Here is a 13,563-nt window from a genome sequence, read left to right as displayed (position 1 = left end):
ATGAGAATGGTTTACTTCTAAAAGGTATAGTGAGAGATAAGTAATAATATGTTAAAAATAGTATGCAGCCCTTTCTGTTGCCAAGGTGACACGTAATTGATGAGTAGAATTACCTACTACAAGGCGTGTTAGAATGCCCGTTAGAATCTATGTTTCTATATAATAGACTCAGCAGTGAGAGAAAAGATGCCCCTTTAAAACGTTAAGAAATTACGTTACGAAAATTAAAACAGCGAAAGGGATATGAGGTTGTTTGCTGGTTGGTTGGTTGTTTGGTTGGTTGGTTGGTTTGGGAGTTTAAGGTTTGTCTTTTATTTTATGGATTTGTTTTTTTTTCTTTCATGTTTTTAGAAGTTCATGGAACCAGTACAGCTTGTTTGATGCTAAAAGCAGAAAAAGAAACTTACAGAAAATTAAATGTCTTCTGAATATGTCCAAGAGGCACCCATGTTCTCCAACAAAATGACACATCATGCTCACTGCAAGGCAGCCTCCCTCCTCCCAAATCCCTGCATCCCTGAACCATTTGTAATAGATATTCAGAAGTCACTGAGGCATTTACCATATGCTGCATCCCCTGGCAGGTTGAGTTGTTGCAGAATGAGTCAGCAGTACCTGAGCTCAGATAGGATTGAGAGAATTTAGAGAAAACATACCTATGGAAAGTTGAACGGCTCCCATTTGGGACTGACTAGTAATACTTTGGGTCCTTAACACAGTCTGCCTCTCAATCCCATCAAATGCAATAGGTTTAAAATTTATGTCTTAGAAAGGGGTTTTGCTGCTGGCAATAACTTTTCTCAGGCTGACATTGAGAATTCAAAGCGTTAGTAGCAAATATTTTTCTCTTCTCTCCTTCTGCATCCTACCCTTCTTGGTTTTTCAACTTTGAATTTCTCATTCTTTAATCTCTATTGAGGGAGTCTCTAGAGGGTGCTGAGAGTGTCTGTTGGAAAGCATGAAGATGACAAGGCTGGTTTAGACTGGTGCGCAATCTAGAAAGTCAGGAGACTAAACCTTCTGGGAGCATGAACCCATCAGAGGTCTTGCTAGAGGGACAAGTTAGGGTTACCAGACCCCACCACCAGTATCGGTTAAGGGTGACTATAACACCATTGCTCTGGCATCCCATTGCCCTGAGATGAATCTTTTAGGATATTGATTATCTAAATAACAAAAAAACCACAAAACATGTTCAGCCCCTGATATTAAAGGTAAAGAAGCACCAGTGAAAGATCTCAAAGGCACACAGTAGAAGCTGTGTTCTACCCTGATGGAATCAAAGAAAAGGGAGTAACTCTACGATTTTGTTCTTGGGCTTTTCTTTTATCCAAAAGCATCATTAATGTCACCACTCTGGCTTTTATCCTCCTCAGGTACGAACCTCCTGCCCCAAATCCAGGCCTGTAGAAGCAGCTGCCGCAGCTTGTCTTCCCCATTTGCATAGCCTTGTCTGAAAACTAGACTGCTGAATACTGAAGGATCAGGTTTCTCATCAAGAAAACTGCATTTTAAATGAATATCTTGTATGTTTATAGGGAAGTTACTAATGTAGTATAAAGAGATGCCTGTCCTCCCCCTCCTTTCTGGATAAGAGATTTTATACTTTCACAAAACGAAAAATTAATGATTTGCAGTGTAGCAAACAGTACTGTTACAGTGGTTAGGGAAACTTTCCCAAAAGCAATCTGGAGTGACATTTCATTCATGTATTCATTTAATGACTATTTATTGAATGCCTACTATGTATAAAGTATTGATTCTACCCTCGAGGAAGTTAGTGGAAATTTTTAAATGTTAGATAAATAAATAGAGATTGATTTTCATATTCACACACATTTAAATAAATAAAACATAGAAAATTGTAAGAACCATAAGAGATAGAATGCTGTGGGTATTCAAAGAGAGAAAATACTTCAGAAAAAGGCGTAATTGAGGAGGTAACATTTGATCTGGTTTCTAAAGGGTAGCTAATTACTCTATCTTTACAAAGTGTGTGAATGTATATGAGTGTTTATAAAATCTGGGTCAAGTTTGAATATACAGAGATTGTAGGGAAGGATGTTCTACACACAGGGTACAGCAAGATCAAAGTTGGGAGAGACTGAGCTATGTACAAAGAATAGCAGTGGTTTTAGTTTGGCTGGACTGTAAAGTGCATGGAGGAGAAGTTGCAAAGAAGATTGGAAACCTGGGTGGGAACCACATCACGGAAGAGCTGGAATTCTTAGCTATGAAAATTTGTACCATATTCTGTAAACATTTTGGGAGCCACTGAAGGTTTTAGAATGAGGGAATCATAAGATCAAAGCTTGCTTGGGAAGATTAACACTCTTCCCAGTAAAGTTTTGGCAACAGCATCTGCTGTTATATTGACATAATGTGGGTAAAGTGGCTGACATAGTATCTGATGCATAGGAGCTCAGTAAGTCATGGAAGCAGATATACTGTAGTGGTTTAGAGCAAAAACTCTGGTGCCTGGATGCCTGGGTTCAAAAACCAGCTCTGCCACTTAATAGCTGTGTGATTTTGTACAGATTTCTTAACCTCTCTGTATGGCAGTTTCCCCATCTGTAAAATAGGATTAAAAATAATACCTGTTATGAATTATTATGAGGGTCAAATGAGTTAAGACATGTAAAATACATAGAACAGTGCTCTATTCTGAATAAAGTTCTCAATAAATGTTAGCTGTTGTCATCATTATTATCATTCTCATTCATGGAGGAGATAAAATTTAAGCTAGCCTTTAAAGAATGGCTGTGATGTAGACATGTAGAAAGGTAACTTTCAGGCACAAGTAAGTACACGACAAAAGGCATACTTGCAAGAAAATACGAGGTGAGTGAGGTGAACAATGGAGAGTTCAGTTTGCCTATAGAATAATATAGGTTAAGGTGTTATTGGAAAATAAGATTTTAAAGGTAGGCCATAGTCAGATTACAAAGCACTTTGGATCATAGCCTAAGAATATTAAGTGTTCTCTAAAGACAATGGAGGGACATTAAAGGTTTTTGAATTAAGAAGTAACTTTATCAAAACTATATCCCTAAGGAAAATTAATTTGATGGTTTTGTGTGTGAAGGATTGGAGAGGGAAGAGACTTGAGGCAGGGAAACTGATTAGGAAGCTATTGGTGTAATCCATGAAGGTGGTCATAAGGGCTAGATTAGAGTACTGCAGTGGAAGTGGAGAGGAAGGAATAGGAGAGAGATTGGTGGAAGACTGGTAATTGGAAAGGAACAGGAAAAGGGAGGAATCTGAAAGGGTGACTTTCAAATTCCTCAGTTTTGAACATGGGTGACTGAAAAGATGGATATCATTAACAGAGTCAGGGAATAGAAGAGGTAAGATGACAGGTTTAGCATAGTCAAAATGGAGCTGTAAATCACAGCTGACTTCTCTTCACAAATTGACATATCTGATCCTAAAATGTATCCAGAAATTCAACCCAGAATAGCAAAAGCAATCTCGAAACAGAAGGACAAAGTTAGAAAACTCAAACTTCTCAACTTTAAAACTTACAACAAAACTACAGTAATCAAAGCTGCATCTTGCTGGCATGAGGACAGACATATAGATTAATGGAAGAGTTCAGAGTCCAGAAATTAACCCCCACAATTATAGTCAATTGATTTTACACAAAGGGGCCAAGACCATTCAATGGGGGAGAGGACAGTCTTTTCAATAAATGATGATAGGACAACTGGATGTATCAATATACAAAAGAATAAAGTTGGGCCGGGCGCGGTGGCTCACGCCTGTAATCCCAGCACTTTGGGAGGCCGAGGCGGGCGGATCACGAGGTCAGGAGATCGAGACCATCCCGGCTAAAACGGTGAAACCCCGTCTCTACTAAAAATACAAAAAATTAGCCGGGCATAGTGGCGGGCGCCTGTAGTCCCAGCTACTTGGGAGGCTGAGGCAGGAGAATGGCGTGAACCCGGGAGGCGGAGCTTGCAGTGAGCCGAGATCCCGCCACTGCACTCCAGCCTGGGCGACAGAGCGAGACTCCGTCTCAAAAAAAAAAAAATAAATAAAATAAAATAAAAAATAAAGTTGGACCCTTACCTCGCACCATATATAAAAATTAATTTAAAATAGATCAAAGACTTAAATGTAAGAGCTAAAACTATAAAACTCTTAGATGAAAACATAGATGTAAATTTTCATGATGTTGAAATAGGAAGTGGTCTCTTGGATATGACACCAAAAACATAAGCAAAAAAAGAAGAAATAGATAAATTGAATTTCGTCAAAATTTAAAACTTTGTGCTGCAAAGGACACTATCAAGAGAGTGCAAAGATAACCCACAGAATGGGAGTAGATATTTGCAAATCATGTGTCTGATAAGAGACATATTTAGAATATTTTAAGAACTCTTACAACTCCATATTAAAAAGACAACCCGGTTTGAAAATGGGCAAAGGGTTGAAATAGATATTATTTCAAAGAAGATACACAAATATCCAATAAGCACATGAAAAGATATTCAACTTTATTACTAATCAGAAAAATGCAAATCAAAACCACAGTGAGATGCTACTTCACACCCACTAAGATGGTTATAATTAATTTAAAATGAAACAAAACAAAAAATAGCAAGTGTTGGTGAAGATGTGGAGAAATTGGAACCTTCATACATTGCTGATGGGGATGTAAAATGGTGTGGCCCACTGTGGAAAACAGTCTAGCTCTTCCTCAAATGGTTAAACATAGAGTTGCCACATGACCCAGCAATTCTACTCCTAGGTATATATCCCCAAGAGAATTGAAAATGTGTCTACACAAAATTTGTACATGTATATCTGTAGTAGTATACTATAGTGGCATTATTAATATCAGCCAAAAAGTGGAAATAACATCAACTGATGAATGGATAAAATGTGGTCTATCCATGCAATTGGATATTATTCAACCATAAAAAGGAATGAAGTACTGATACATGCTACAACACAAATGAACCTTGAAGACAGTCACAAAAGAAAACATTATATGATTCCACTGATATGAAAGGTCAAAATTAGACAAATTCATAGAGACAGAAAGTATATTAGTGGTTGCCAGGGGCTGGGGGTTGGAGAGTGTTGGGAATAGATAGTGACTGGTAATGGGTTCAGGGTTTCTTTTGAGGACAATGAAAATATTCTAAAATTCATTGTGATGTTGTGTGCACAACTCTTTGAATATGCTAAAAGCCATTGAATTGTACACTTTAAATGAGGGAATTGTATAGTATATGAAGATCAATAAACTTATTTTAAAATTACTTTTAAAATATTTTTTTCCTGGAACTGTAGCCCCTGATAACCAGCTGCAGATTTTTTAGTAGAATCAACTGTCAGTTGCTTCTAAGAAGTTTGAAAAAGATAACAGAGAAAAGGCTTTTGGATATGGTAATCGAGAGGTCTCTCTACCTTTAAGAGAGCAATTTCAGGAGAGCAGTAAGATCAGATCCTGGATTGCAAGAAGTATGTATAGGCGGCCAGTATGTGGATAAGTTGGACAATGCTGAGAAGAAAGGGAGGGATAGATGGGCGACTTTTAACTTATAACCTACAGGAACTGAATCAGCAGGAATTCAGGGACTGAAGATGTAAGAAAAGAGCTCATTGGTGATACATGACCCTTAAAGCAACAAAAGAGGATTTAGTGCTCACAGGGATAAATTAAGCTGGAAAGGTAGAAGAAATATGATGGAGGACATTTTCAGGTAGAGAAAAGAGGTAAAGGCACTCATTACACATAGCTTCAACCAGTTCCGTCCAGTATGAGACAGAAAAAGTTTGATCTAGAAAGATACACAACAAACTATGAATCAGCAGTTACCTCTGGGGTGGAAGTTGAGATGGAAATAGGGAGATTTTTCACTTTTATTTGATAGACCTTTATGTTGTATTTATGTATGTATGTATGTATGTATGTATGTATGTATGTATGTATGTATGTATGTATTTGAGACTGTGTCTCACTCTGTGGCCCAGGCTGGAGGGCAGTAGTGCGATCTTGGCTCACTGCAACCTCCGCCTCCCAGGTTCATGCGATTCTCCTGCCTCAGCCTCCCAAGTAGCTGGGATTACAGGTGCCCACCACCACGCCCAGCTAATTTTGTATTTTTAGTAGAGATGAGGTTTCATCATGTTGGCCAGGCTGGTCTCAAACTCCTGACCTCAAGTGATCTGCCCGCCTCGGCCTCCCAAAGTGCTGGATTACAGGTATGAGCCACCGTGACCGGCCATGTTTAATTTTTTATATCAAGAATGTCCTCTCATTATATTTGTATTTTTCAAAAATTAGACTAGCTGCTGTAAGAAATGTAATTCTTCATCACTTGGAGGTAAAGTGAAACGTGGCCAAGCTGTAGAGAGTGTGTGGCCCATATTAATCACTCAATTAATGTTTGTAGAATTTGTTGAATTGAAGTTATAAGCATAAACTCTAATGGAAGCAATTCACTTGATTTCTCAGCTTCCTCCAGCAGAACAGAGAGAAAATTCTGATGGTGTGGTTCATCCAAGGGTTTAAGGACTGACAAGGCAAAAATGGCAAAGGTGTGAGGGAACTAGGGTGCTAAAGTAAGTTTTCAAAATGACTAATCATATTCTCCAGAATAAGTAATGAAGCACATGAAGTCAAAAGATAGGCTGAGCTGGGCATGATGGCTCACGCCTGTAATCCCAGCATTTTGGGAGGCCAAGGTGGGAGGATCGCTTGAGCCCAGGAGTTCGAGTCTAGGCTGGGCAACAAAAAAAATTAAAAATTAGCTGGATGTGGTGGCCTATAGTCCCAGCAACTTGGGAAGCTGAGGTGGGAGGACTGCTTGAACCCAGGAGGTCAAAGCTGTAGTGAACCATGATCATGCCACTGCACTGCAGCCTGGGTGAGAGACTGAGACCCTGTCTCAAAAGACAAAAAATTTATAGGATGGTGTACTTTGAAAATAGGAAAAAAAAAACTAGGGAATAGGAGTTACAGTAAGAATAAAGACCAAATACAATAGGAATTGGAAAGATAGAAAATTGTAGATGGAGAAACTAGTTCAGAGTTCAGGGCCTTAGAAGAAGAGCAATTCCAAGTGCTTCTTTATCAGGCCCCAAAGTGTGTCTATGACAAGGAATAAAGTAGAGTGCAGGTGGACATCACTATTGTTGAAAAGATAAAGGAACTCTGATGTTAGAGAGTTAGAACAGGCAGGGGGAAAAAATAGGTCTCTTGTTCAATACTGTGAACCCATTGCCCAACGTAGTACCTATAACAGGCATTCAATTAACATTTGTTGAATGAATGAATGAATGAAATGAATGAATGAATGAATATTATAGCACTTATCACAGTTACTTGTTTTCCTGTTTTCCTCCCCTAGTGGACCAGAAGCTTCCTGAGTATTGCTTATTTCTGTGTCTCTAGTATTTGAATCAAGGTTTGAGTGAGGGAATGAATATTGAACTGCAGAAAATGATGACAAGGAAAGGCAGAATGAGAAAAATTGTGAACGAGGTGCTAAAACCCCCAAGGGAGGTGAAAGATAAGAACTTTCATAGTATTTGAGTAATATTATCAAATGACATTGACTCAAAAGAGGGAGCGATTGATGAGAGGAAAGAATGTTAGATTTGGAAGTGGCAATAGGAAAAATAATATTCCAATTTTTTTTTCCGTCCTGGGAATTCTGGAGGAATTGGCACAGTGTTTTCTTCTTTGATGCTCCACTCCTACTCTGTCAATTAGCCCTCCCAATGTTTTTCCAAATTTACCTTACCTTGCTTCCTGCTGCCATCATGACTAGAATGCTTCAATACCCTTTTTGCCAACCCCTGTGGGGTTGACTTCGTCACGTTGACCCTACATGCAAGAGCAAAAAGCTAAGTTCCTAAGCATAATTTTTCAGCAACATTAGTACTTACCTCTTACTTCTCCAATGGTTTCCATTTGACTGTCAAATCAAATGAAAACTTCCAGTCTTGAATTTAAAAGTGTTCACAATCCAGCCCTCTGTAAGCTGCCCTTACTTCAGTTGCTTTGAAGTTTGCACTATGTACAAGATGCCCTACCTTTCTGAAAGCTTCTTATCAACCTTTTCAATACCCATCCAGAGCCCTCTTTATCAGAACTCCTTGAGGACTCATTTTCCCTACCTGGCTATAATCAAAACAACTACTCCAGAAACACCTGCCTGCCTTTATCCTTTCCTCTCTCCTAAATACCAAACACTCATAAATGTTATATGTATATGCTTTTCTTGTGTGTCACTCTGTATTACCCGATCAATTCTACCATATAAATTTCTCCCAAATCTATCTCTTCCTCCTTATCCTTGCTGTCACTGGCCTGGATGGTTGCAAAAGCCCTCATCAACCTTCAGGGTATCCTACAATAGAGCTTGAGTATCTTTAAAATGGAAATCTAATTATGCCTTCAAAGCACACACACACAGATGCACACATGCACCCACACAATGTTTGAGACATTTTGTACCCTTTAAGCAAAAGTCCAAACTCATTAGCCTGCCGGGCATATATAGCCCACGTTTACCTCTCTAGCCTCATCCCACCACTCCCGCTGTCAAGCCTTCATGTTTCTGCATGCATACTTCCTTCTCCGGACTTAGTCCCCTACCAGTAACCCCACAATCATCTCTGCCTCCAACTTCCCTATCGTCACCCTACATACCTATAAATTTCTATACTTTTAAAAAAACTTTTATTGCACAATAATCACAGATTCACAGAAGGTTGCAAAAAAATGTACAGGGAAGTCCCATGTACCCTTCTTCCAGCCTCCCCCAATGTTGACATCTTATACAATTATATTACGGCATCAAAATGAAGAAGTTGATATTGGACATTGGTACAAGCCATAGAGCTTATTTAGATTTCACCAGCTATATATGCACGTGTGTGTGTGTGTGTGTGTGTGTGTGTGTGTGTAGCTCTATGCAATTTTATCACACATGTAGCCTTGCATAACTACAACCACAATCAAGATACAGATCAGTACCATCACCACAAGGTTCCCTCATGCTACGCCTTTATAGCTACATCCATCCCTAACCCCTGGCAACCAACTAATCTATTCTCCACCTCTGTAATTATTATTTTGCAAATGTAATATGAATGGGCTCATGCAGCAGATAATCTTTTGAGATTGGCCTTCTTGACCCAGCACAATTCCCTTGAGAGCCACCCAGATTTTTTGCATGTATCAATAGTTTGCTCCTTTTTATTAATGAGCAATATTCCAGTGGCATGGTTGTACCAGTTTGTTTAACCATTTATCTGTTGAAATACATCTGGGTTGTTTCCAATGTTTGGCTATTACAAATTGAGCTGCTACGAACATTCATGTACAAGTTCCTACACAAAAATAAGTCTTAAATTATCTGAAATACATTGCCCAAGAGTACAATTACTAGGTCATATGGTAAGTCTATTTTTAGTCTTAACAGGAACTGCCAAACTATTTTCCAGAGTGGCTACACCATTTTACGTTCCCACCAGCAAGATATGTTTGTGATCTAGTTTCTCCACATCCTTACCAGGAATCGTTGTTACCATTTTTCATTTTAGCCATCTTGAGAGTTGGCTCAGTGTAGTTCTCATCTTTTAGGACCTAAGTCAAGAGTTACGTCTGTAGAGCCTTTTTAAAATCCTCAGGAAAAGTTGATTATTCCCTACTCTGTGCCATTTCTGACACTTCATTTGTCGTTGTATTTTAATTATTTATTGACATAGTCTGTGTCTTTCCCTCTATTTCCGGGCTACATGAAGCTAGGGGTTGTGTCATATTCATCTTTATTCCTGCAGCATCTGGTACAGTTACATGCTGGGCACACAGTGGATGCTCAGGAAAATGTGTGGTAAGTGAGGGAAAGAATGAATGAACAGAACATTAGTCTTGTTGCCTCCCCCTCCTCCTCCTTAAGCTAGAAACCTTTTTAGAACAGACATCACGCCTTCCTCTGTATCTCCCAGCAGCAGCTAATAGGGTGCTCTGTACATGTAGATGCTCAATAAATGTCGTCTAAACTATTCAGTTAGCTTATCTTCCCTCTGCACCCAGGAGATAAGCATATGAAAGAGAGAATAGGCCCAAGTATCCTTGTATTAAGGATCATATGTCATTATTTTTATAATATTCTTATAATCTCTATGATCACTCAATATTTTTCTGTGTAGATGAGAAATCAAAACAAAACAGTCCTTTGAGTCAAAGAATGCCTCTGTGGGTGAGCACTATTCAATAATTTCAATACCCTTGTTACATATGGATTTGGGAGAATGGCTTTTTATGTCCCTGAATTCTTTTTGCATTTTCAGAAAGATCTGGGATTTTTCTGGTCTTGCTGCACTGGTGTAATTTGACATGTTGATTATGAAGAGGTCATTAACCTCAACATTTTTTATCACTTTTTGACTCTGGATTTTCTCAACTCTGATGTATCTTAATTTACACTTGTTTATACGTCTCTGTAAGAGTTATTCAGGCCCTTGAGGGCTGGTATATATTCTGTCTGGAAAGTAGATTGTAAGCCCCTTGAGAGCAGGGACTTTATAACTCCTAAAAATGCATTCTGGACACTGCCAGTGTTCAATTAATGATAATACTGAAAGCTTGACTAAGGTCATCTGTCACATTGACATCTTCCTTTTCATCTACAAGGGTTCTATCAAAAAAAAAAAAACAGCTAGGTTGAGTAGGTAGCACTGAATGATTCTATCCAAAATTATGCTCATTGTTACACTACAATTTGTTCTTTAGGGTGCTTTCAGGTTTATAATTTTAGATCAGTTGTTACAGTTACCTTCCCTACAATACCCTGGTTACATATGCATTAGGGAGGATTGCATTTCATAACCCTTTAGTCCTTTTACATAATAAAAACTTACCTGATAACATCTATGCTTGTAAAGCATGTAATTCTTCTCCCCAGCCCCCACTGAGAACCAGGTGATTAAACTCCAAGTATGGTCCTCATCTTAAATAACCAGAAAGAACCCTTAATGACTATTCAATGTATATCTTATTTTCCCAGATTTTAAAATGGACTAAATGTGTATACTGTGTCCTATGGCTGTTGAAGTTAAATTAATATGAATATTTCAAGGAAGTCTGAATTTTAAAACAGAAGGGCAGATGTGTTCATTGATGAGCGTGGAAGTAGAGGGAAATTTTTTTGTAAGTCAGGTTTATTAAGGTATCATTTACATGTAGTCTGATTCACCTCTCTTAAGTGGAAAGTTTGATGAGTTTGACAGGTTGTGTTTTTTTCCCTTAACTATTTGCTAATTCAATTATACCTCCAACTTGCCCTACCACCACCACTACCCCTAGACCAAACTGACCTATATTTTGTATCCTTTCTATTTTATATAGTGTACTAAAGGAAGTATACCAAGCCTTTAATCCCAAAGCAGTGGTCTTACAGCTGGGAGCTGACACAATAGCTGGGGATCCCATGTGCTCCTTTAACATGACTCCAGTGGGAATTGGCAAGTGTCTTAAGTACATCCTTCAATGGCAGTTGGCAACACTCATTTTGGGAGGAGGTGAGTATAAAGGAAGGTTACCAGAATTTGTTGACCTTCCTCCACATTTTGTCCATTGGCACTGAACTTGGAAAACTTGGCTTTCTTGCATTGGATAATACCAACCTACCTGAGGCCCAGAAGCCTGAGTCAATAAAATCTGCCACCTCCACAGTTCAGAATAAGAAAATACTCTGACACACTTCTCAGCTTAGCATGTGCATTGACTTCTTGGCACTCTAAAGTCTAAATTTCAATTCCTGAAGCAAAGATCCTCTGGTTAAAGGTTACCTCGAATCTTAAAAATAGAGGATGTTAACCCCGGTAGACTTTGATCCACCTTCTCTCAGTGTAGTCTTTGATTTTCAGTTCTAATAATCATCTTTTGGGAACATGTCACTGAAATTCCAACTCTACTTGTATGTAAGTAGTAAACACACAGATTAATTAAATAAGCTGAATTCAAGAATGCCTCTTCCCCCAAAAAGCATGGATTTGTTACAGTGAAGCAAAATTGAGAGATCTATAGTCTCTTGGGCATTCTTGCCTTTGGTGTGTGCTGATTATTTGTATTACTTAGCCAAAAGAAAGCCCGGTCTATTCAATAGTAGCATTTAAACATTTGAGAAAAGAACTTGTCACAACATCTACCACCTTTAAAGATGCCTTGCTTAAAATCTTCTGTCTACCTACCTGGCACAATCTTTATTTCATTGGATGAATAGATTGGTGTGTTAAAATAACATGGTCAAGCAGATTGAGCTTAAAATGCATATATTATAGAAGAGCTAATTGTTGGTTGTTTTGTCAACCTGTTAGAGGAAATTGTGGGGAGGCCTTATTAAATGAGTGGGCATTCAACACAAGTACACAAGCCTTGTCCTTTGGCAGCCTCAAACTCTAGAAGGCTCAAAATTAAAGGTACTTACAAGAGACAACCTCTTATGAAAAGCTGGCAAGAAATATATTAACTTCAACTGAAGAAAAAGATAAAATTGATAAGTACTGTGTGACATATTACTTTTCTTGACAGCACTAAGGATGGTGATTATGATACAGGTACAGCTAAGGAGGGGGAAGAGACCTTTCTACCATATACATCAGGTTAGAACCTGACTTTTGTTTGAGGCTATAATCTTTACATTAAAAGCCTGTTAGCATTCTCTAAAGCCTTTTTGTTTTCTCAGCCCAAAGTTTTGACATTTGAATATATAAGTCTTCTTAGGAAATATGTGTATTCCTGAAAACGCTTGTGCATAAATGGAATTTTTGCAAATCAAATCATATTGTATATGTACCAGAGATAGTTTACTACCTAAGCAAAACCTATAGTGACCTTTTTTTGAAATTAAATACTCATGCCGAATAAGTCTATCTTATAAAGTCAGATTTTTCCGTGTCAGGAGTATTTAAAGTAATACCTGTACTATCTAACTGAAATTCTCAGCCCTATTAACACACAATTCGTAGAGGGAGCCACATCCCCAAGCTTCAGTGGACCCCATTGAGACCTAAAAGACATAGTCAAAGCATCCGTGACCTTTCAAATAGTAGAAAAGCTTAAGAAAAGAGTGACCATATGTCCGAGTTTATACATGTTATCCCAGTGTAATGATTAATAGTGCCCTCTTTTACTTTTAAAAGTATACCATTTTGTATGATAATTTATATGGTCACCCTATCTAAAATAGACCAGATTCTGTTTCCCTTAGGCTGCGTTGAGATTAGGAAATCATTCCATTTTACCCTTATACTCTTAGAATTTAGCTAAAGGCCAATGTTCTAATGCTTGCATGGCAGAGCACATCTATTCAGCACAAAAATGTGCTGATTATTAGCCAGTATAATATGGCCGTTGGGTGACTGTGACAGGACCTGACGAGATGGGTCAGAGCATCCATCAACGGTCCCTTCCTCATCTCACTCTCTTTGATCTCTGCCACCAGGCCTATGTTTTGTGGCAAAAAGGAATGCTGACATCAAAAGAAGGAAGTCTGTTTTTGTCAGCATTTTCCTTTTCTCTTTCCTGGGTTTTTA

At 38.4% G+C, this 13,563-nt stretch overlaps 1 protein-coding gene across 20 annotated transcripts in view; it reads left to right on the top strand.

Annotated features, from left to right (window-relative positions):
• The window catches only part of HDAC8 (histone deacetylase 8), a 243,328-nt gene that overhangs the window by 96,738 nt on the left and 133,027 nt on the right, over positions 1-13,563 (top strand). For 17 of the 20 annotated variants that reach the window (NR_199815.1, NR_051952.2, NR_199812.1 and 14 more), the window contains one exon: positions 11,375-11,547. Coding sequence is in view for 15 of the 20 variants with exons in the window: in XM_047442255.1 (XP_047298211.1) it covers positions 11,375-11,547 (173 nt within the window). In the remaining 5 variants the exon portion in view is untranslated. Of the gene's footprint in view, positions 1-1,376; positions 2,691-11,374; positions 11,548-13,563 lie in introns of those variants that run through there. The other 3 variants (NM_001166448.2, NM_001410730.1, NM_001166419.2) reach the window with 1 other exon arrangement.

Source organism: Homo sapiens, chromosome X (assembly GCF_000001405.40).
Source record: "Homo sapiens chromosome X, GRCh38.p14 Primary Assembly".
In the NCBI taxonomy this organism is placed as follows: Eukaryota; Metazoa; Chordata; class Mammalia; order Primates; family Hominidae; genus Homo; species Homo sapiens.
The sequence above is the reverse complement of the archived record's forward strand: the minus strand, read 5'-3'. Positions and strand labels throughout refer to the sequence as shown.